At 41.2% G+C, this 23,383-nt stretch overlaps 1 long non-coding RNA gene and 1 pseudogene across 1 annotated transcript in view, besides 1 other annotated feature; one reads left to right on the top strand and one right to left on the bottom strand.

The window, feature by feature from the left end:
• Positions 1-9,084: 9,084 nt before the first annotated feature.
• The window catches only part of C10orf126 (chromosome 10 open reading frame 126), a 35,491-nt gene continuing 21,192 nt past the window's right edge, over positions 9,085-23,383 (bottom strand). Inside the window, exons 4-5 of the long non-coding RNA NR_164114.1 lie at positions 17,692-17,727; positions 9,085-10,845 (exon numbers count right to left, since the gene is read on the bottom strand). This is a non-coding gene — a long non-coding RNA (chromosome 10 open reading frame 126). The remainder of the gene's footprint in view (positions 10,846-17,691; positions 17,728-23,383) is intronic.
• Positions 10,753-10,973: an enhancer, noted in NCBI's record as "heart enhancer 23". NCBI's record gives its function as "activates a minimal c-fos promoter by transgenic reporter assays in zebrafish embryonic heart {active_cell/tissue: heart(embryonic)}" and the evidence as "EXISTENCE:transgenic organism evidence [ECO:0001131][PMID:20075146]".
• On the top strand, positions 16,476-16,590 carry RNA5SP308 (RNA, 5S ribosomal pseudogene 308; annotated as a pseudogene).

Genomic DNA, 23,383 nt, shown 5'->3' with positions numbered 1-23,383 from the left:
GAACTATCTGGGAATGTGGTCTCCAATGCAGGTCTCCTGTCAGGAGATTTGTCTGGAATATCCCACAAAGATTTTGAATGCACAGTTAAAACCATACCACCTCTGTGTGATGTAGGCAAGAGACTGCTCAAGCCCTCACTCCGAGGGTGAAGAAGGCTCTGGAAGTTTCTCATGCCCTGGTTATGACAGCTGCAAGGGCCTCTCCCAGAGCCACAATGTGCCCAACTGCATTCTGTAACCTGAGCAACAAAACATTTTCCCCAGCCCCCAGCCAGGGGAAACACATTCCCCACCTCAGGCTCCACAAGGGCTGCCTGGGGCTCTTGGCAAATCCTTAGGGTTGTCTTCAGGAGGAGAGTCCCAGTCCCCCGATTCTAGAGGATATGAGGAGTGAGAGAGTCCTATAAACTCAGGCCTGACTCTCAACTGGAGTGACCAAAACCTCATTCGATATCTACCTACTCTTAAGGCCTATGACAGCCTTTTACTCATTTAGAGTTTACAGTGTGTGATAATCCCCATTCCCCTCATCCAAACCCCACCCACCAAAAAAACCCAGCTGAGATAATATCCACATTTACTCAACACTGACCAAAAAAGAACCTGCATCTCCTTTTATGGTAACTGTTCTCCAATTTCTGACTCAGAAACTTAGGTCACCATAAGTGAAGTGGGGCAGCACTGGCCTTGAATAAGGTGATCTGAGTTCTAATCCATCCTCAGGAGATTCATTTAATCACATAGTGACATGGTTTGGCTATGCGTCCCCACCCAAATCTCATCTCCAACTGTAATCCCCACATGTCGAGGGAAGGATGTGGTGGGGAATGATTGGATGATGGGGGCACTTTCCCCCAGGCTGTTCTTGTGATACGAAGTGAATTCTCATGAGATCTGATGGTTTTATAAGGGGCTCTTCCCGCTTCGCTCCTGTCTCTCCTGCCACCTTGTGAAGAAGGTGCTTCCTTCCTTCACCTTCCGCCATGATTGCAAGTTTCCTGAGGCCTCCCCAGCCACGTGGAATTGTGAATCGATTACACTTCTTTCCTTTATACATTACCCAGTCTTGGGTATCATCATTAGAGTAGTGTGAAAATGGACTAATACACACAGGTTTTTTAATGTATATTAAATGACAGCTGAAAGAATGACCATCTCTCAAATTCTATGGTTCTCTAAAATAAATGACCAAATCTAGGATGCTAGAAAGTATTTTACATAGATTGACAAAGCCCTGAGGAAGAGGGATAAAAGCAAATGAAACCATCCTAATTACAACTGAGGACAAATGGCCAAATTTGCTACTTTATTAGTATTCCTGATAATTAAAGGAGTTAAAGATACCTAAGAAAGTCAAGGGTCTTAACAAGGAGTTCTAGACACCTGGAAGGATAGGATGTTAACCTCTGCAGTTAACTCAGATCTACCATATAAAGAAGTCTAGCTTATTCTTTATAGTGATATAAGAAAAGTGTTTTAGAAAACTACTTTAATAAAGGGTCCAGCTAGGGGGAAAATCGTTCATTGGATGAGAGATAAAATTTTAGCAAAAGTTGAAAATATGAAGAATTTCTGGTGTGAAGCTGTGGAGCCGAAACCCATGATTTTCCACAGAAATGTGAATCCAAAGGAAGCCAAAGATCTTAATGCACATTTCAGTGAAACCACAGGTAGAGAAACCACTGATGCTGCTACTGAACTATTCACAAACTGGATGGGGAAGATTAAAAACCAGTTTTCTTAGCATAATGTAAAATATCTACAAGAGAGCCGGGCATGGTGACTCGCATCTGTAATACCAGCACTGAGGGAGGCCAAGGCAGCAGATCACTTGAGGTCAGGAGTTTGAGACCAGCCTGGGCAACACAGGGAGACCCCATATCTACAAGAATTACAAAAAAAAAAAAAAATATATATATATATATATATGTATATTAGCTGAGCAGGGTGGCAAGCATCTGAAGTCCCAGCTGCTTATGAGGCCAAGGTGGGAGGATTGCTTAAGTCTGAAAGTTCAAGGCTGCAGTGAGCCATGATCACACCACTGCATTCTCTCTCTCTCTCTCTATATATATATATTTGATTATATATAATTAATTATATATATTTAATTATATATAAATATATAATTAATTATATATTTAATTATATATAAATATATAATTAATTATATATTTAATTATATAAATATATAATTAATTATATAAATATTAAAATATATATTTAATTATATATTTCTATATAATTAAATATATAAATATATTATTAAATATATAATTAATTATATAGAGAGAGATATATATCTAGATATATAAGATCACAGAGTGAGACCCTGTCTCTCTCTTTATATATGGATCACACCACTATAGATAGATAGATAGATATAGATATGCCTATATCTGTCACACCACTATAGACAGACCACTAAATATATATATATATGGTGGTATAATCTATATAGAGAGAGAGCTATATATCTCTATATATAGATATAGATATAATGGTATGATCTCTCTCTCTCTCTATATATATATATATAAAGAGGGAGAGACAGGGTCTCACCGTGTGTGTGTGTGTGTGTGTGTGTGTGTGTGTGTGTGTGTGTGTGTGTATACATCCACAGGAAGCAAGGAAGCAATCGGGTTTTTCTCTCTAGCCGCAATGGTTCACATAGGAAGAAGGTCGCTGGCCAGTGTTCAGGGGTGACTAAAACTGGAATATTAAAGGAAATTTCCTTCCCAGGTCATTTTTCTCCTCAAAGCAAAAGAAACCAGTGAGCATTTTATCAAGGAAGAGGGACTTGCCCTCACTGGGGTGATATGACCTCACATTGGGCCAGATGCGCTGTATCCTCCAATGAACCCCAGGACATTAAGGGGCAAGCATTTTTTAAAAAAATCAAACACCACCTGTATAGGCAATTTTCTTTGTTTTGTTTTGTTTTGTTTTTGAGATGGAGTCTTGCTCTGTCACCCAGGCTGGAGTGCAGTGGTGCAATCTCAGCTCACCACAACCTCCACCCCACTGGGTTCAAGTGATTCTCCTGCCTCAGCCTCCTAAGTAGCTGAGATTACAGGCATGTGCCACCACGTCTGGCTAATTTTTTGTATTTTTAGTGGAGACAGGGTTTCACCGTGTTAGCCAGGATGGTCTTGATCTCCTGATCTTGTGATCCGCCTGCCTTGGCCTCCCAAAGTGCTGGGATTACAGGCGTGAGCCACCACGCCCAGCCTTGTATAGGCAATTTTCTAAAGTTCTAATTGTGTTTCTCTAATCCTGGAAGTTGAGAACAGGCGAAACAGACATCAATCAGTTTGTACTACAAAAAAATCTAATCACGATAGGACACCAGCGAGATGATTGAATATTATAGGGTACATCCATAATATAGGATACCATGCAACCGTTTTGAAAGAATAAAGCACAACCTTTGTATTGAACTGAAAAAAGTCTCTAAAATATATTGTTATATTTTTCTTAAAATGTTAGTTACAGATTAAAACATATGATGTGATATGGTTTATATTTTTATATTTTTCAAATCTCACAGAAGGAAATCATGTTATATATACACATACCACAAATGCATAAAAACAAAGATCTGGGAATCTCCTAAGAACTTTGGGAGATGACTGATATAAGACAGGGGAGTTAAGGGGGTTATCAGCTGCATTTCTATCGCATGAACATTTTTCCAACTAGGATACATTGTGCATTACATATGATAAAATGATTAAGATCAGGATCTTTGATATAAGACTTGCTGTTTCAAATTTCAGTTTCACTGCTTAGTAACTGAGGTAAATGACTTACACTCTTTTAGCCTCACTTTCCTCATCAATAAAATGGAGAAAACAATAGTTCCTAACTCACAGAGTTGTTATAAGAGTTAAATGGCCAGTACACTTACTAGTTACCCACAAAGTTAAAAATTTAAAATTAGAAAAAAGACAACAGGCGTGGTGGCTCACACCTGTAATCCCAGCACTTTGGGAGGCTAAGGCAGGCAGATCATGAGGTCAGGAGTTTGAGACCAGCCTGGCCAACATGGTGAAACCCCATCTCTACTAAAAACACAAAAATTAGCCAGGCCTGGTGGAGAGCACCTGTAATCCCAGCTATTAGGGAGGCTGAGGCAGGAGAATTGCTTGAGCCCAGGAGGCAGAGGTTGTAGTGAGTTGAAATCGCACCACTGCACTCCAGCCTGGGCAACAGAGCAAGACTCCGTCTCAAAAAAAAAAAATTAAAAAAATTAGAAAAAAGAATTAAATGACCATATGATATGCACTTAATACTATGGCACGTAACACAAATTAAATGCTCAATTAATGTTAACTATTATTATTATTGCTATTACTACTTCTAAGATTATGCTTAACTAAGTACTGATCAGGAGAGCATGCCACCAGTGATCACGCCCCCATTTCAGAAACTTACTGAAAATGAGCAAATGGGATATAAGTTCCCACTAATGAATTAACAGTCACTAGAGGGGTGTCCCCTCTCCCCACAAGGAACAAGCTTACTCTCAATCAAAACTAGAGGCTATGAGTGGAGAAACACACGGCCAAGAAATCACAAAGAAGGCAGAACCCCAGTCAAAGGGTAGGGCCACTTTGATGCATATCTTGAATGCTCAAATTAATTTCTAGAACCTAACTCATTCCTGAACAATTTTTTCTTTTTCTTTTTTCTTTTTTTAGCATTGGAGTTGGGGTCTTACTCTGTCACCCAGGCTAGAGTGCAGTGGTACAATCACCGCTCACTGCAGCCTCAAACTCCTGGGCTCAAGCTATCCTCCCACCTCAGCCTCCCAATAGCTGCAACTACAGGCATATTCCACCATGCTCAGCTAAGTTGCTGGGGGTTTTGTTGGTTTTGTTTTACTTTTAGAGAAGGGATCTAAACAAAGGATTTAAAATGTGTGCTCGGGACAGACAATTCACAGCCCAAAGGGCACAGACACCTCAAGTGTCAAGGCCCCTCCATCCTAGGGAAGAAATGCTCAGGCCGTAAGAATAGGGAGGGCTGGGAGACAGGGGTGAATCAGGATTTTTCCTTCTTTTTTTCTTATACATAGGCCTCACTTCTGTTTTAAGGAACCTGGAGCTCAGCATGCTTCATTAGGTTACATAAATTAATCTTTAATATCTCAAACAAATCCAGAAGCTGTTATACAACAAAGTCATTTATTTTAACATGTTGAAACACATACCCACACTGCACCCAGAAGAACCACAATTTTTTCAAGCTATCAATTATAGCCATTAGAAACCAGATAATTCAGAGTTAGTCCTTGATGCAAGCAAGCCAAGTGGTTTAAAGTCTATTCAGAGATGTAATATACACTTTCATTACTTATAAAACAAACTTTTAGGGTTTTTTTTTGTTTTTTGTTTGTTTGTTTGTTTTTGAGATAGAGTCTTGGTCTGTCGCCCAGGCTGGAGTGCAGTGGCGCAATCTCGGCTCACTGCAACCTCTGCCTCCTGGGTTCAAGTGATTCTCCTGCCTCAGCCTCCTGAGTAGCTGGGATTACAGGTGTGCGCCCCCACCCCTGGCTAATTTGTTTGTATTTTTAGTAGAGACAGGGTTTCACCATGTTGGCCAGGCTGGTCTCCAACTCTTGACCTCAAGTGCCTTGGCTTCTCAAAGTGCTGGGATTACACGCATGAGCCACCGTGCCCAGCCAAACTTTTAGGTTTTTTGTTTTTTGTTTTCAAAGCTCATGTGTGGCAGGCAGCACTCTTCCTAACTGGCTCAAGACTGACTTTGGCCGGGCGCAGTGGCTCATGCCTATAATCCCAGCACTCTGGGAGACCAAGGTGGGAGGATTGCTTGGGCCCACAAGTTTGAGACCAGCCTGGACTACATAGTGAGACCCTAACTCTACAAAACAAAAACACAAAAATTAGCCGAATGTGGTGGCACATGCCCATAGTCCCTGCTCCTCGGGAGGCTGAGGCAAGAGGATGGCTTGAGCTCAGGAGATCGAGGCTACAGTGAGCCAAGATTGCGCCACTGCACTCCAGCCTGGGCTACAGAGCAAGACTGTCTCAAAAAAAAAAGAGAGAGAGAGAGACTGATTTTGTGCTATAGTAATAATGTTACTAAACTTAGATTTTTGAAAGTCTTCAGACAGATCCTTGAGACAACCAGGGACCAAGGGCCTACTTGAGTCAAGGTGTTAAGTGTTAGAAGAGGTTCAAACTAAACACTTATTAACTAAATTGTTAACTTGGGGGATAAGATCCCACTTAAAGAGGCAGTACTTTGACTGTTTGAGCACCAACAAGGAAATGCTGTAATACCTTAGTCATATTTGCTCTCTGGGAAAATAATAACTGAATATATGTTTACTGATAGAAGTAAGTTCTCTGAAGAATGACAGAGTGAGTGTCATTTTCTAAATATTAAACTCCTTCGGCCTGGGGGAGTGTTTCTCATGACAAAGGACTTGCTGTTTGTTTAGGTATTAGTATGTATTAATAATGAGTTTTCAAAGAGTGGAAGGGTTGAGGACTGTTTGACTAAACTCTTTCAGAGAGTTCAGTGTACATAAACTGTTCATTAACAAGAGCAGAAAGATCCCTGGAGGTAAAATTTGGATTTCAGAAATGTGATTTTTATTATATTTGGAACCAAAGCACAGTAGGAATGCATATCAGATTATAATAGAGAGATAAGATTTGAAATTCAATTACTTGCCATAAACAGTTCATGGGTACACGCTCCAAGGATCAATCAAACGAATAAAATGACGACAACTTGGAATCATGCTATTATCAGAACAGGATATCTGAGGAACATTGCACTCTAACTGAGTGCTTCAATGGAAGATTAATTATTCTGAATATAAGTAATTCTAGAAATAGTGTTTAAAGAAAGCTGGGCCTATGGTGGAAGACGGCTTGTCATTCCCGACCACTCTGAATGTTTCTCAAACTCCCCTTTGTACAACAATGTAGCAAACACTGAAGAAATATGGCCAGGAAGTTTTATAATTTATACTCTCAAGGAGTCTGCGTTAGTAATGGAAAACAGGACAAACAGACATAGAGATGACACATAGATGAGTGATATACACAGAGAGACCTCACTGCCTGGAGCACAGCGAGGATGCCAAAATTATAAGAACTCTCAAGAAACTTACAATCATGCTCAGAAAATAAAATATACATAGGCGATAACTAGTTTTCTAATAATCAAAGAACAATATATCAGAATCTAAGCATCTTAGAGGCAGTTGAGAAATTAGAGTTGATAGACTAACTCTTTGATAGATGAAGAAGAAATAAAGATATGAAAAAAATAAGGCAGAAACCAATAATTAATGAGTGACTATGGGTAAGACAGACCCCAGGCTGGTCGCCTTATACATTATCTCATGGAATACTCATGACAGCTCTGTGAGGCATGGGGATTACCCTCCTTTGACAAAGGAAAGGACAGAGGATTTGAGAGTTGAAGGAAAATCACACGGCTAAGAAGATGGATCAGGGACCAGACCCAGGTTATTTTGTCTATGTCTGTGGTCTTTCCCCAGACAATGCAGGGAGGGGCTAAGTGCCAGATCTAATGCCTGGTAACAACATGGATATGTATATTTGAACCCAGAGGAGACAAATCTGGGAAATCTTCACAAGAAAGCTGGAATTGAACTAAGATGTAAAAAGAACATAAACCAGAAACGTCTAAAGAACAAAGTAGCTCAGATGGTTTCTACCTCCAGTGTGCGTCTTTCTCACCCATAAAAGAGAAATCTTCGCCAGGGCTAGGCATAGGTCTTACTCTCCATGAAATTTTCAGTGCCAGCCCTCATATCTGGACCTCGGTACCCTGAGTAAGTGTGTGTTGAACTATTAAACGCGGAGAGACTTGGGGATGATAGTGGTAATAGGCTGTGAATTGTAAATTCACAATTGTGAATAGGCTGAGAAACAGAGAGCAGATGTTGCCTAAATGAACAGCAAATAAATGGGGAATATGAAAATTTAACAGATTTATCCAATTATGGTGTCCATTCTGCTGCCCTCCTGTCCCCCATGGGTAGCTGACCTCTGACCTTGGCTAGAAGAGTATTTGCGGTTTTAGAGTCGCTGAGCAAGGGTCACATCATTAGCCCCAAGGTTGAGGGTATTTCTCCCTCCTAAGTCCTAAGAAAGTCAGTGTGAAGGTGGACCCAGGGTCTGAGTCCACACTAGCGGGCGGGAGCAGAAAAATACCCCAGACCCACCATTACCAACAAACCTGTCAATTGCAGAACTTTGGCTGGCAACATTCTTGGCTTGCGGGTGAGGAGAGAGTTGGAAGGGACAGACAGAAAGGTGCCAGTGAATCAATTTTAGTTTTGGCAAACACTGGATGGAGACACATCAATAACGGTAGGGCTGGAGATTAATTAAGAAAAAACTTTAAATGGAAGAGATAATCTATTATATCAGATAATCTATTATAGCAGAGGCATGATCTTAGCTCACTGCAATCTCTGCCTCCCAGGTTCAGGCAATTCTCCTGCCTCAGCCTCCCAAGTAGCTGGGATTACAGGCATGTGCCACCATGCCCAGCTAATTTTTGTATTTTTAGTAGAAACATTCATTTAGTGCATAAATTAATATAAATGAAATATATCAATAGAACAGTGCTAGATATAATCTAAGTTCCAGATTTTGCCCTTTTCTCTTTTTTTCTCAAATATGTTTAGTTGTGTAATATCTCAGCAATTCAGAAGAAATGAAAACAATGACAATGACCAAGGGGTTCATCCACTAGATCTAAGAAGTATTATCCTTAACACTATCTTTCCTTTAGTTACCTTTTTATTTTTTGAGAAAGAAAATATTTTAGTGCCAGCTAAAGCATCCCCATTTCATTGTTTACTCTCCATCACCAGAGATAGACAGTAATTGACTATATTTTTATATTTTACAGACATAAAACTGTAAGCAATATATAGTAACATTTGAACATCTTTAAACGTACAGATGTGGTGAATTACATTAAAAAGATTTCCTAATGTAAACCATCCTGCCACATTAGGATAAACACTAACTGGTCAAAAATGTATTATTTAAATATTTTGATAGATTTGGTTTACTAATATTTTATTTAAGATCATTACACTCATTTCATAATTAACAATGACCTATAATTTTGCTACACTCTATTTTATTTGTTCAGTTTTATTATCAAGGTTATGCATACAAAATGATGTGGGAAGTTGTCCTTTTTCTATTCTTTGAAAAAGTTTATACAAAGTAGTGCTTATCTGTTCTTTGAAGATTTTGTAAACTTGGCTGTGTCTGGCCTGTTTTTTGGAGAGGGAGGCATCCGGGGAAGGAAGGCTGTAGATTATTAACTTGATTCACTTCTTTTGTTGATTATAGGTATATTCCAGCTTTTTCTTTCATCAGTTTTTGTAATTAATATTTTTCTAGGAGATTGTCTGATTTCTCTGTTTCCAAATGTATTGTCAGGAACTTGTCCATAGTATTCTCTTACAGGCTTTAAAATCTCCATCAGTAGTTATGCTCTGTTTCTTTTTCATGCTTTTTCTTCTCTCGTCCTTGGTCATTCTTGCCAGAGATGGCTTTATCACTCTTTTCAAGGAACCGGCTTTTAGTTGGGTTGATTTCTGCATTATTACTTTGTTTTCTAGCTCATTAATTGCTCTCCTTATCTTTATGGTTTCCTTCCTTCTTCTGCCTTCTTTCTGCTTGCTTTGCTGTTGTTTTTCTGTTGTACTGTGTCAAGCAAGTAGCTGGCAAATTTTTCAGTCTTTTTCATTTTCTAATATATGTGACTGAGGCTGTAAATGTTTATTTGAACCAGAGGTGGCCAGTCTTTTGGCTTCCCTGGGCCACATCAGAAGAAGAAGAATTGTCTTGGGCCACACGTAAAATACACTAACACTAATGATAGCTGATGAACTAAAAAAAAAAAAAAAGTCTCACAATATTTTAAGAAAGTTTACGAATTTGTGTTGGGCCGCATTCAAATATGTCCTAGGCCACATTGTGGCCTACAAGACACGGGTTGGATAAGCTTGATTTAAAGTATCATTTATTTAGGCTGCATCCTACAGGTTTTTTCTCTGCTTCATTTTAATTACTTCATAATCCGTATTATTATTTATTTTGCTCTTACAGTTTTTCAATTTTGTTATGGAGCATTTCAAACATACAAATGCAAACACTGCTTCACGTGGAATCCTTCTGGAATGTTCCCAGTTCAACATCACTGCAAGTGAGCTAATATATGCTCTTGGGTAATAACATTCTCTCGTTATTTTTACTCTAAAAATCCATGCGTGTGTCTTATTTCTTCTCTTTGAAGACAAAACTATACCTTAAATAACCTCATGTCATACAATGCAAGGGCTTTGCAAAATCCAGCTGAATTAAATCTTTTTTTAAATCCCACATGACCAGATTAAAAGCAGCCCATTTTGCCAAAATGTAGACTTGCTTCATAGACAGTTAAAAGTAATTTTTAAAACACAGCTCTCATTTCATCACTACAATTTCCAAGTTTGAACTTCTACAAAAGTTCAGGATAGTTGAACAAGCACCGTTTTTGGAACTGTAAATAAAGCAGTTGCCTATGGAACCCGGGTCCTGCTTTTTTTGCCTCTTTGCCTGCCACTGATCCTTGTCCTGCTGCTGCCTTTCCAAAGGGCTCAGTGTGTGCACTCCCAGGGAATGAGCCATCCAAGCCGCAATCCTGAGCCCAAGAAAAGCACCACCGAGCCTCCGCAGGAAAAATAAGTTGCTGCCACACGAAGGAAAAGATTCCAGAGCCTTCAGACTCCACCGCCACTGGCTCAACTGTTTCTAAGAATAGCGTGAACTGTGGGAAAAAAAAAAAAATACTGGCACCAGACATTGGTCTTTAATTGTCTCCAGGCATTAAAATAGAAACAAGCTGAAACGGAAGTGCCCCTGGAAACCCTCTCCCAGCCTCACTCAGTGTGGACCAGGAAGCGGGATGTGGATGCGGCTTCCAGAGACATGGACTCCAGAAGGCCAACCCTGCGCCGTGGTGTCACCACGGAGCACGTTTCCAGGACAGGATGGTCTCTTCCAAAGTGGAAGAAGGCCAGGGGCCAGGAGCAGTCTCCAGTGGCCCAGGCCTCACCCACTTTCAGGCTTCCTAGCGATTCTCTCGAGGCCTCTGATTGGAGGCCCCATGGGATGTGAGGGGTCCGCCTCCCAATAGCCGAAGTTGTTTATCAGAGGCTTCTCTTTCTGGTTCATTTTCATAATCTTAAATTTAGCTAATTGGTTCCTAAATCAAATTTTGCAAATAGTTTCTTGTCATAAAAAACAACATCAGCCTTATAACTGGGAGGCCTCTCAGCATAAAGGGGTGTGTGCAGTTAGATCCTATATTCATAGGCTGGAGAGCCCATCACATCCCCTACAACATAGAGGGAACTCTTCAGTTCAGAAGGCACAAAATTGTGTTTTGTTTTGTTTAATGAAGATGTGACAGTCATCTGAATACTGGGTTTCATAACCTAAACAGATTTCCAAACTTTGGGGATTGCTTCCAAATAAAAAAAAGTGCTGCATGCAGAAAAAGATCAAGGAGCCCAATTCTAGTTTCCACTCATTCAAATTTCTCTTGCCTAGTGCCTCATTCAAATTTCCCTTGCCTAGTGCATTAATCATTTTATGAAAATAGGTTTTTTCCCTGCAAGGTTTCTAGTATTTATGAAATTACTCTTAGTTGGAAACATAAGATAAACCAACACTCAAGCTTTTCTCAATTCCTAGACAAACACACTAAATAAAAGAGGTGGTTAGGACTAAGTTTTCCAGAAACCCAGTGCCAATTCCTGATGGGATTATTTCAGCTCTACTTTTTCTAACATGGTTAATTGTTGATGAAGTATGGAAAAAAACAGAAAATAAAATGAAGCTCTTTTCTCTTATGTGCATAATATTCCATAATATATGGAAGTCAAAAGCTGCTTCACAGGTGGGGAACAGGGCTGGTGCAAGGGGAGATACACACTTCAAAAGAATGCAACTTAATAGGGCTGGCAGGCCCCACGTGGCTCCAAACCCTACACAGCATGGCCCTCCCAACTCAAACTCCAGTTGAAGACCTCAGAGGGAATTGACCGGATTCTGTTTTAGAAACACATAAAACCAAAAAAATCTAGCACCAGAGGGAGACAGATACAAATGGGAACAGCCCAACAAGATGGAACATTTACAACGTAGGTCTCTCAGAAGCCCTGTCTTTGGTTGCAACCATCAGCACATGCAGAAATGTGTCACCCCCCACTCTACACCCTCCCCCAACACAGTGCTCACTGTGATCCTTATCTACCCAAACCAGATTACTCAAGCCAGAGCAGAGATTGATTGTCTTTGCCCAAGGTCGGCAATCAGCCATCAATTATACTTGCCACATGCTAGGCTGTTCCTAACTCAGAAATCTTAGAGCATTTAGTTGCACATAGAAAGGACTCCATAAATGTTTGTTGAATTGAATGGAATGATTGTGCTCAACTAATAGCCATTGCTCAACTGTTTCCCAATATCCACTGGTCCTTAACATCAACTCTCATCACTTGGACCTTCTCTTGCCTGTGTTTGTCAACAAGGTTTATATTTCAGGACACCAGACCAACTCACCTTCTAGACCCTGAACCTACCTATGTTCTCCACCAACACCTCACCCTCATCTCCGCCTTAACTCAAGATTCACCTGTCTCCACTGTCTGACATCTCTTGATCTATTCACAGCTACCAGTACTCAGCTGTGACATTTAGAAGTGGAATCAAGGAGGAGAAGGATTGTGAGGAAAGAGGAAAGAGTTTACATTTGCTCTCCCCACTGCTGTGTGCCAGGCACTGCATATATTATCTCTTGTAATTCTGTTTTTAAAGAATGCTGGAGACTAGGGAAATGATACTTCCACTGTCTGAGCCTTTGGGTCAGGAAACTAACTCAAATGCCAAGATCCCAAATGCCTTCCACAATGGAGACATTAAACCCTTTTAAGTTAGTGATTTTTAATTTACGATTTTAAATTATGAGAATTGATGAACACCCATAATGAAATTTTCATCCACCCACTATAAAATGAAGTACTAAAATGTGATTCCCTAAGGCTGAAATATACTATTCAAAGAACTATCCTTTGTTCTGAGACTATAGGGGAATCCTATCTTAGGAAGGAGTAAAATAATCTCTCATTGCAAAAATTCACATGCTCAAAATTGCTCTTCAAAATCTTTCAAGGAGGTACCAAAATCAAGTCCAATAAACCATTACTTCTTCTTTTTTTTTTTTTTTTTTTTTGAGATGGAGTTTTGCTCTTGTTGCCCAGGCTGGCATGCAATGGCACGATCTTGGCTCACTGCAACCTCCACCTCCTGGGTTCCAGCAATTCTCCTGCCTCAGCCTCCCGAGTAGCTGGGATTACAGGTATGCGCGACCACGCCAGCTAATTTGGCATTTTTAGTAGAGATGGGGTTTCACCATGTTGGCCAGGCTGGTCTCAAACTCCTGACCTCAGGTAATCTACCTGCCTCGGCCTCCCAAAGTGCTGGGATTACAGGCGTGAGCCACTGTGCCCAGCCCCAGTAAACCATTATTACTTAACAAGTTTAATCACAGCCTATTTTTCTTACAGCATTGGACAAGATCACTAGTTCTACAGCTGACTATACCTGGTGAAATATTTGGCCCACTTTAAGTGCCAGGCTGTTAAAAAGAAAAAAAAAAAAACAAGCAGAACAAAAACCTTCTCTTAAAGACTAGAATCGCACTCAGCTGAGGAACACGGAACTGTGTGGTAGTCACGTGGTTGTAAGCATATGTATAAAAGTCATCACATTTTTTGCCTTAGATTTTTTCACTTTACTATGTTTAAATTTACCTCCATAAAGTGTTGTAAGAAAGTCTTATAGTGATTATCAAATGATTTTGCAGGGAATTCTCAAACAAGAATTCTCCCTTCTCTCACAACTGAATTTTAATCAATGCACTTAAATCCTTAAGTTTTTGAGTTTTAAGCTCCCTCCTTGGGAGGAAGTTCAGTACCTAAGGAACCTTCGTAATTCTTTCATATATTGAGTAAAGATGCCAAAGTCACTGATTAAAGCTCCCTAACCTCTTAACTCATTACCACAAAACCACCCTGGGGGCCAGGGATCCTGGGTTTTCACTGCCTTCTTTATGAAACTTTCTTTCATCTTAGCGGAAATAATAACTCAAAATCAGTATGTTAGTCGGTCAAAGCATTGTTAATCCAATAGCAAATGTCTTGACTTTTTAGATTACAGGCAACTAGGGAAATACTTATAATAGTTAAGGTTTTTTTAAAAACAAACAAACAAATCTTCCATGAAGTCTATATGAATTATTTTTTTTTGTTGCTTTACAGAGCAAAAATTGTCTTAAATCTTCTCGATTTAAAAAAAAAATCAAAGTGATGCTTCCTTGTTAGCTTGCAAAACCCAGAAAATGATACTGTCGGAAAACACTAGTGATTTAATTAGCTATTAAATAGACAACTTCCTTTCACCCTCTCGATTCATAGCTCCCATGGGAGAATTTATTAACTTTAGTGGCTAAGTTCACATTAATTAAGCCTAACTGCCCTTGACCAGTTAAATAGCTAATCTGTAAAAATGTAGCTGATTTTGGATGTGTGTGTGTATAAAATTATTGATAATTTTTTATGTATTTTAATATCGCCATTGCTTCAGGATACTGCTTTACAAGCATGCATCATTAGAAGATAAATCCATAATGATAAAGCATTTCCATTCACACATGCGATCTTTCGCATCAGCCTTGTAAATTTCAGCATTGCCCCCGAACATTTCTTCACGTGTTTTCCAAAGCTAAGTCTCTGGAATCCCTGACTTTAAACTGTTGAGTAAGTTCAAGTTGAGTTTCATGCTGGCAAAGAGAGTGCCTAACTACAAAGAAATACCTACCGTGTAATCGCTGTTTCATGTCCGCTCGGACCGCCCATTCTGTTTCATTATTGCTCTTTCAGCCACCTCCAGGCCGAACACTCAGACAAAATCACTCTGGCAACTTGTGAATGCCTTCTGCTCATGTAGGATGGCTGTTTTGCCCCCTGTGCTTTCTTTACTGAGCTGTTTAATAAACAGCAGGGTAGCTGGGAATTTCTTGGAAGGAGCCTGGCAGGGAGAGGGCACCGTGGTGCCGACTTTCCAGGCTGACTCGCCGTTGCATTTGCAAACCTGGGGCTCCCCAGCCATCCCCACAGAGCTGCTGAATAGGTTGCTAAGGGCTTGGCAATGTTCTGCACAGCCACTGCTGATACTAAAGAGGCCGCAACAGGCTGGATCCCAGAAGAAAGGAACTGCTAACAGGTTGAGTCACCATGAATGCGGGACTCCTTCGTTTAATAATCTCAGACAATTCTTTCTGGGCTTAAACGCCCCACAGTCCTGTGACAATGTCCCAGAGATTCAAAGGTAAGTTACCTGATGCCTTCAGAACACATTTCCTTTTATTCACAGGATAGTAAAGCTTCTCCCTCATGCATATTCACTGGGGTTTTTTTTGTTTTGTTTTGTTTTGTTTTGTTTTGACGGAGTCTCACTCTGTCACCCAGGCTGGAGAACAATGGCACGATCTCTGCTCACTGCAACATCCATCTCCCAGGTTCAAGTGATTCTCCTGCCTCAGCCTCCCCAGTAGCTGGGACTACAGGTGCCTGCCACCACGCCTGGCTAATTTTTGTATTTTTAGTAGAGACAGGGTTTCGCCATGTGGTCAAGGCTGGTCTCGAATCCCTGACCTCAGGTGATCCTCCTGCCTCGGCCTCCCAAAGTGCTGGGATTACAGGCATAAGCCACTGTGCCACATATTCACTGTTAACCAGCCCTCTTCATTCATGGCATCTGGCCTTAAACAAGGGAATGAAAGTTTTTTGTTTTTGTTTTTGTTTTTACATCAAAAAGGGAGGGGAATAGATGAGAAGGAACATTAATATCAGCTTAACTGACCTGAAACAGCAAGTGCAAAGTTGAGGGGGATGTTGGGGTCCAAAGGTGTGTGGAGGTTCAGCAGGCAATCTTTCCCCCCCCACACACATCCTCCAAGTAGGGGAAGTGGAGATCGGAAGGAGACATTGCTCTTATTTTGGTTGTTAACTGGACACAGGTATGTAGTCATGCCTCGATGACAGTCACAAAGTCCTGGACAAGGTAACATTGGAGTCCAGAATAGATGCCCATTTTATTTCCACCTGCTATAGAATGCTGAGCGCTTAGGAAACAGGAGAGCTTTTGTAGTAGTATTTATCTCCACCCATCTCATTTTTCTGTCACTCTAGGGTGGTTGAACCATGGCATTATGTTCTCTATCTCATTCCTACTATGGGATGAGGCAATGCTTGACAGAGAAAAACTGGGATTTGGACAAGATCTATTCAATGTCCCTGCACATTGTGTAGAAGCTAGAATTGATGGTGCAAATATTACATCTTGAAGATAATGCACCTGATCTCATCCAAACTCAGAAGCTAAGCAGGTTTGGGCCTGGTTAGTATTTGGATGGGAGACCACCTGGAAATACTGGGTGCTGTAGGCTTGGCCGGGCACAGTGGCTGATATGGTTTGGCTGTGTCCCTACCCAAATCCCATCTTCAATTGTAGTTCTCATCATCCCCACATGTCATGGGAGGGACCTGATGGGAGGTAATTGAATAATGGGGATGGGTTTTTCTCATACTGTTCTTGTGATAGTGAACAAGTCTCATGAGATCTGATGGTTTTATAAAGGGGAGTTCCCCTGCACCCCCTCTCCTGCCTGCTGCCATGTAAGACATGACTTTGCTCCTCTTTCACCTTCCCCCATGATTATGAGGCCTCCCCAGCCATGTGGAGCTGTGAGTCCATTAAACCTCTTTTTTTTCCTGTGAATTACCCAGTCTCAGGTATTTCTTCATAGCAGTATGAAAAAGGATTAGTACAGTGGCCCATGCCTGTCGTCCCAGCTACTGTCATCTCAGCCTGAGGATCACTTGAGACTAGGGGATCATTTGAGCCCAGGAGGTCGAGGCCAGCCTGCACAACACAGGGAAACTTCCTTTCAAGAAGTAATAATTAACTTAAAATTTAAAAGGTGAGACTGCTCCAGGACCTAGCCAGTCTCTGCAGTTACCCTGGGTACGTCACAAGCCACAGGCACACAAGTGTAAACTCCCCCGGGGGACAAGGCCACCTCCTTCCTTGGTGACTTCCTAGCATGTACAGGGTGTTAGCTTAAACTATAACCTGTCCTCCCCAGGCCACAGGACCTTTGTCCTGGCCCCTCCCTAAGACTCACCAATCACCTCCCTAGGGAAGCAGAAGAAACACATAGGGTGCAAAGTGCCAGAGTGGCACACACCACAGTCCCAAATAATTCACCCGGGTGGCCAGGGGCTCATCTGTTCCCAGTTAAAAATACATCTACAAGCCAGAAATCTTGATTTCAAACAGATCCAAGGGTGCAAAAAGGCACTTTGAGCACATAAGGTATAGTATATAATAAGGAACATAAAGTTTCGTTAGAATAAGTAAGTGTTAAGTACACGTGTGTGTGTATGTGTGTGTGTATATATATATATATATACTAGAAAACTTTTTCAGTTAATAAAAATATATCATATATCATGCAAATACACTGTGGTGTGTAATAAGTACTTACCGTCATTGAGTTCCAATCGTACAATTCTAGGCTTACCTGAAAATGAAAAAAAAAAATCACGACATTAATTAAACCTTAAATAATAGAGACTAAACATAATTCAAGCTGTGTACTTATCCAGCATAACCTGAAAGGAATAGAAATTTCCATTACACATTCATTGCCTTAAAAGATCTTCAAAACCATCATTCATAATCATAAATAAAAATGATTGTAAATCAAAATTTCTCTGATCTACAGGGAGCAGTATGACAAAATCATGTAGAAGGATTTGTTGTGATATCATCCAGTTAAACCCCAGGAAACAGTGATGCAACAGCTCTTGGGAAAGATCCTGCGGTGTTATCAGTTCTTTCTTTCAAATTCTCTTCAAGCTTGTACATCTAGAGTATCTCCTGCTAAATGGCAAATAAGCATTGTTTCATAATGCTTATAAGGCATTCACAAAATAAAATACTGACATTTTTTGACTCTTTTTCTTGTCCATATAATGTGGATTAGTCTCCATGACAACACCAACTGTCGCATCACATTATCACGGACACCTCCCAACAACTGCTGTGCTGCTGTGACCCACAGTAACCCATTGTTCGATTTTTATTTTATTTTTCGAGACAGGGGCTCACTCCATCACTCAGGCTAGAGTGCAGTGGCACAATCATAGCTCACTGCAGCCTCAAAGTCCTGGGCTCAGGCTATCCTCCCACAACAGCCTCCCATGTAGCAGCGACTACAGGCACACACCACCATGTCTAGCTATTTTTTTTTTTATCTTTAGCAGAGATGGGGTCTTGCTATATTACCCAGGCTATTCTCGAACTCCTAGGCTCAAGCGATCTTCCCGCCATGAGTGCTGAGATTACAGGTGTGAGCTAGCACACCCGGTCCATCATTCCATTTTTAAATAGATGACCATGTATTGAAAAATCTTGGGGAAATTATTTGGCTGCTTATGTGTGTCTAGTATTTAAATACCCGGAGAAATGGGTTTCTCCTATATGTTGTAATTTAGTGTGGATGAGTGTGATTAGGAGGCTGTGGGCCCTGGAAGTCATTCCTAGTGTCTTGGTGACATCAATTCCACTGGAGCTGGCTCCCTGGGAACTTCTCCACACACAATGGGACTTTCCCAGCCTCCAGAGTCTTCATGTCCACACAAATTTAGACACATTCATCACAGAGAGAACATTCTTGAGGCTGTGTGGCAATGAAAACTTCATTTGTTAAAGGTTAATCTATGGGGGCAGCAGAAATACTCAATAAGGGGTTATTAAATTTTCTTATTAAATGTGATCAGGGAGCTTTGTTGTCTGGATGTCAAGTTAAAGCCACAACTGGGCAAAATTCTTCTGAAGACAGTCAAGCACAGTGTAATGCCCCTAACTGTAGGTCAACATACTCTGTCACTTGCACTTGAGAGTCCTTTCATCGTAATGAAATGTATCAAGTGTTGAGTGTGTGTTTTACAGCTTACACGGAGCCATAAGCCAAAGGAGTGGGTTTCAGTATTTCAGAAATTCCCTAGGCTTCAGGTTTGACAGGAGGGAAATAGGCCATTATCCCCCACGTCAGGCAAAGGTCCTGCTAGATAGAGTACGCTCCCCACCAGCCCTGTACCCTTCAACTAAGGGACACATAACATGCAGACACGTCTCAGAATAAATTCACAATAACCACATACAGTCCACGACCTCACAACTCATCTGTCCAGATAATGTATTTTACAAATAAGGACGCTGACACTCTGAAAAGTGAGAAGAATTAAGAAAAGTGAGAGACTTCAAAAGAAGGCTGAGCTCTAATCAGAAACCAGGTTTCCAAATTTTGGCTTGTTGCAGGAAACAAGGAGGCATTTGGGCACCAAAGGACAAATGTATAATGGAGCTTTTGATCCCCAAACTAGGGCAGTGATGGCTTCTGACACAGTCCACAGAGGCCTGGACCATGAACACGTAAGAGCAGAGCACTGGAAGTTCTGGAACAATCCCAAAGCTAAGGCTGAGTGCACCACGCAGGTAACAGAAAGGCTGGCCGAAGAATGAGTCAAACTGAGAACCCCCAGAAGGAGGGACCCTAGTGGGCCCCAACTGGCTATTGCTCTTTGGGAATGAGCCCAATGACGTCAAAAGAAGCCAGAAATCCAGATGATTTAATATAAAATCTCCCAATTTCTTAATGCCGGCAACCTGTTCAAAACATTTTTTAGGCTGGGCGCAGTGGCTCACGCCTGTAATCCTAACACTCTGGGAGGCCAACGCAGGCGGATCACTTGAGGTCAGGAGTTCGAGACCAGCCTGGCCAACATGGTGAAGCCTCATCTCTACTAAAAATACAAAAATTAGCCAGGCGTGGTGGCGGGCACCTGTAATCCCAGCTACTCGGGAGGCTGAGGCAGGAGAATCACTTGAACCCAGGAGGCGGAGGTTGCAGTGAGCTGAGACTGCACCACTGCACTCCAGCCTGGGCAACAGAGTGAAAAAAACAAAAAACAAAAAAACATTTTTTTAGAAAACTTGCCTGCAGGCATAATTCACTTCCCAGGCCTCCAGCTTTCCATTTCTGTCCTGAAGCAGTTCATACCGAATTTTTTTTACAGACAACCATGCATATACTGCTGGGTTGCCCTATTCATTCCTCCATCAAATTGTAGTGCATGTCTTCTGTATCCAGCTCAAAGGTCAAAGGCTGTGCAACCCAAAGATGCAGAGATATCAGGAATATCCAGGAAACCAGAAGAATGAGAGCACCATATTGCTTATGTTTGTAAGGAAGGAACTTGGAAGGATCTTGGACGGGACTTAACCTACAAGGAGAGAGTGCTGAGGAATAAGACTGTCTTGTAGCAGAGGAGTGGGAAGTCTCAGGATAGCACCGTTAGAATGTCTTGGCAAGAATCCAGTGAAGGTATTATAAGGGGGTAAACAAAGGCAGCCTCTCTGGGAATGGAGAGAAAAGATTCAAGAGATATTCAAAAACTAGTTTCAAAATGTGATCCATCAAGAGTGACACTGCCTTCAACATTAGTGGCTTCACACAACCTGCCTCTACCCTGAGGCCCGAGGCCACAGAGCAAACCTCTCCCCGGTACCCTCCCCACAGCATCAGTCACATGTAGCCAGCAAATACTTACTGGGCCCCTGATACACACAACACCTCAAAAGTTGATCAGACTAATTTTAACAAAAAGTCTTACTGACAAACACACTCATTATACCAAATGGCATTTAGATTTACTGAAACGTAAGTATTTATTATTTAAGGATGTATTGCAACATATTGTGACATCTTTTCAAGGTGTGCATGTACACAGCTTTCTGAAGAGCAATGTTTCAGGACTTATCAGTATCAGTAGGATGTTTTCAGGTGCGAGTAACAGGAAATCACAACTAAAAGTGGCTGTAAAGTAAGGAAATTTGTTAGCTCACATCACAAAAAGCCTAAAGAGAAGGTTTGCCTTAGGCGTGATATGTCAGGCTCCGGGTCCACTTCTTTGCATTTCTTTCTACTTTGATCTCCATGTGTATTAGCCTCGGTCACAGACTGGAGATAAGATGGCTGAATCAGCACCAGGCCTCACAATTAAAAGCATCTAGAGAAAGAAGAGGAGGAATCATCTCTTCTTCAATGGTTTGTAAAGGAATTTAGAACTTTTCCCTGAAGTCTCCTTCAAGCCAGCTCTCCACCTTTGTGTTAGAATTCTTTTCATATCCATCAGCTAAAGTGAGGTCACTCATGTATTCCAAAACCCATCGTTGGCATGAGTTGCACAGTCACCATGATTGGCTTAGGTTAATCCATTGTAGTGGAGTGAATATTGAGGAGTTGATGACATTAGCCACAATAATATCAAAAACCTTGGCCGAGCAGTAGCTCACACCTGTAATCCCAGCACTTTGAGAGTCGTGGCAGATGGATCGCTTGAGCCCAGGAGTTCAAGCTCAGCCTGGGCAATGTAGTGAGATCCTGTCTCAAAAAACATATATATAGAAAAGATTAGCTGGGCATGGTGGTGTGCACCTATGGTCCCAGCTATTCAGGGAGCTAAGGTGGGAGGATCGGTTAAGTGAAGGCATTCAAGGCTGCAGTGAGCTACGGTCCCACCACTGCACTCTAGCCTGGGTGAGAAAGAGAGCCCCTGTCTCTAAAAAAAACAAAACAAAACCAGAAAAACAGGCTGCAACTTTTTACCATCTTTAAAAAAAAAAAAAATCCCTTAACTCCAAGTCCCTCAATGCACCTCCTATATTCCGTTCCCTTTTGTAATAAAACTTCTCTAAAGAATTATCTGTGTTGACCATCTTTCTTTTCTCCTTTCTTATCCTTTCATGAAAATACTCCATTTAGGCAGGGCGCAATGGCTCATGCCTATAATCCCAGCACTTTGGTAGGCCCAGGAGACAGGATCACTTGAGCCCAGGAGGTGGAGGCTACAGTGGGCTGCATTCGTGCCACTGCACTCCAGTCTGGGTGACAGAGTGAGACCTTGTCTCAAAATATAAAAATTAAAAAATATATACTCCATTTAGACTTTCATCTTCACTAATCCGCAGAAACCGCCCTTGTCAAGATCAAAACGACCTCCCCATTCACAAAATGAATGGCCAATGTTGTGTTACTTGTTGCATCCGCTGTGCTTGGCACTGCTGAACAATCTCCCTTTCCTGAACACTTCCTAAGTTTGGATTCCAAGGCTACATGATTTGAAACTTCTGTGCAGCCAGAAAGGGAGCCCTGCTCTACACTCTGGCATCGCTAGACTACAGTTCTCAGACCTCAGCTTTTCTTTTCCATCCATTTTCACACCCCAGATGACTGATTCTATGCTGGGGACTCCCAAAGTAACATCCTCACCTTACCTTTCTCCCAAACTCCATACTTTGCCTATTAGACAAAACCTCTTTTGTCTAATAATGAACGACAGTTCCCCAAAAGCCCTTTTACAAGAATTTCCATTATTCTAAAAGTTCTTTAAATATCTGCAGTTCATTCTCGGTTCTTTGCCAACTTGTTTTCAGCATATGCTCAATAAATGATGGTGAGTGATAAATTATTCATTGATCATAGTAGCAACTTAGGACTCCCCTCAGATGGAAATATAATACAGATGAAAAGAACCAGGCAATTCCACAGATAGTACATAAAAGGGCACCTAGATTTTATATATTAAAATGAAGAATTAGGGCCAGGCATGGTGGCTCACTCCTATAATCTCAGAGATTTGGGAGGCCATGGCAGGAGAATTGCTTGAGATAAAAAACTCAAGACCAGCCTGGGCAACATAGCAAGGTCCTGAATCTACAAAGAAAAACAAAAATTAGCCAGGCATGGTGGTGCACACCTATAGTCCCAGCTATTCGGGAGGCCAAGGTCAATGATCACTTAAGCCCAGGAGGTGGAGGCTGCAGTGAGCTATGATTGCACCACTGTACTCCAGCCTGGGCAACAGAGCAAGAACCTGTCTGTCTCTAAAAAATGTTGTAATTAAAAAAAAAAAAAAAGTTAAGTGAAGATTTATAGTGCATTCATTCACTACGGAATGGCAAGGAGTGAGGATGCATTATTTTTTTAACCTGAAACTAGGCCAATAATTTTTTTCTTTCTTTTTTTTTTTTTTTTTTGAGACAGAGTCTTGCTCTTTCACCCAGGCTGGAGTGCAGTGGCGCAATCTCGGCTCACTGCAACCTCCGTCTGC

The sequence above is a fragment of the Homo sapiens genome, chromosome 10 (assembly GCF_000001405.40).
Source record: "Homo sapiens chromosome 10, GRCh38.p14 Primary Assembly".
In the NCBI taxonomy this organism is placed as follows: Eukaryota; Metazoa; Chordata; class Mammalia; order Primates; family Hominidae; genus Homo; species Homo sapiens.
Note: the sequence above shows the minus strand (reverse complement) of the source record. Positions and strands in the feature narration are given on the sequence as shown.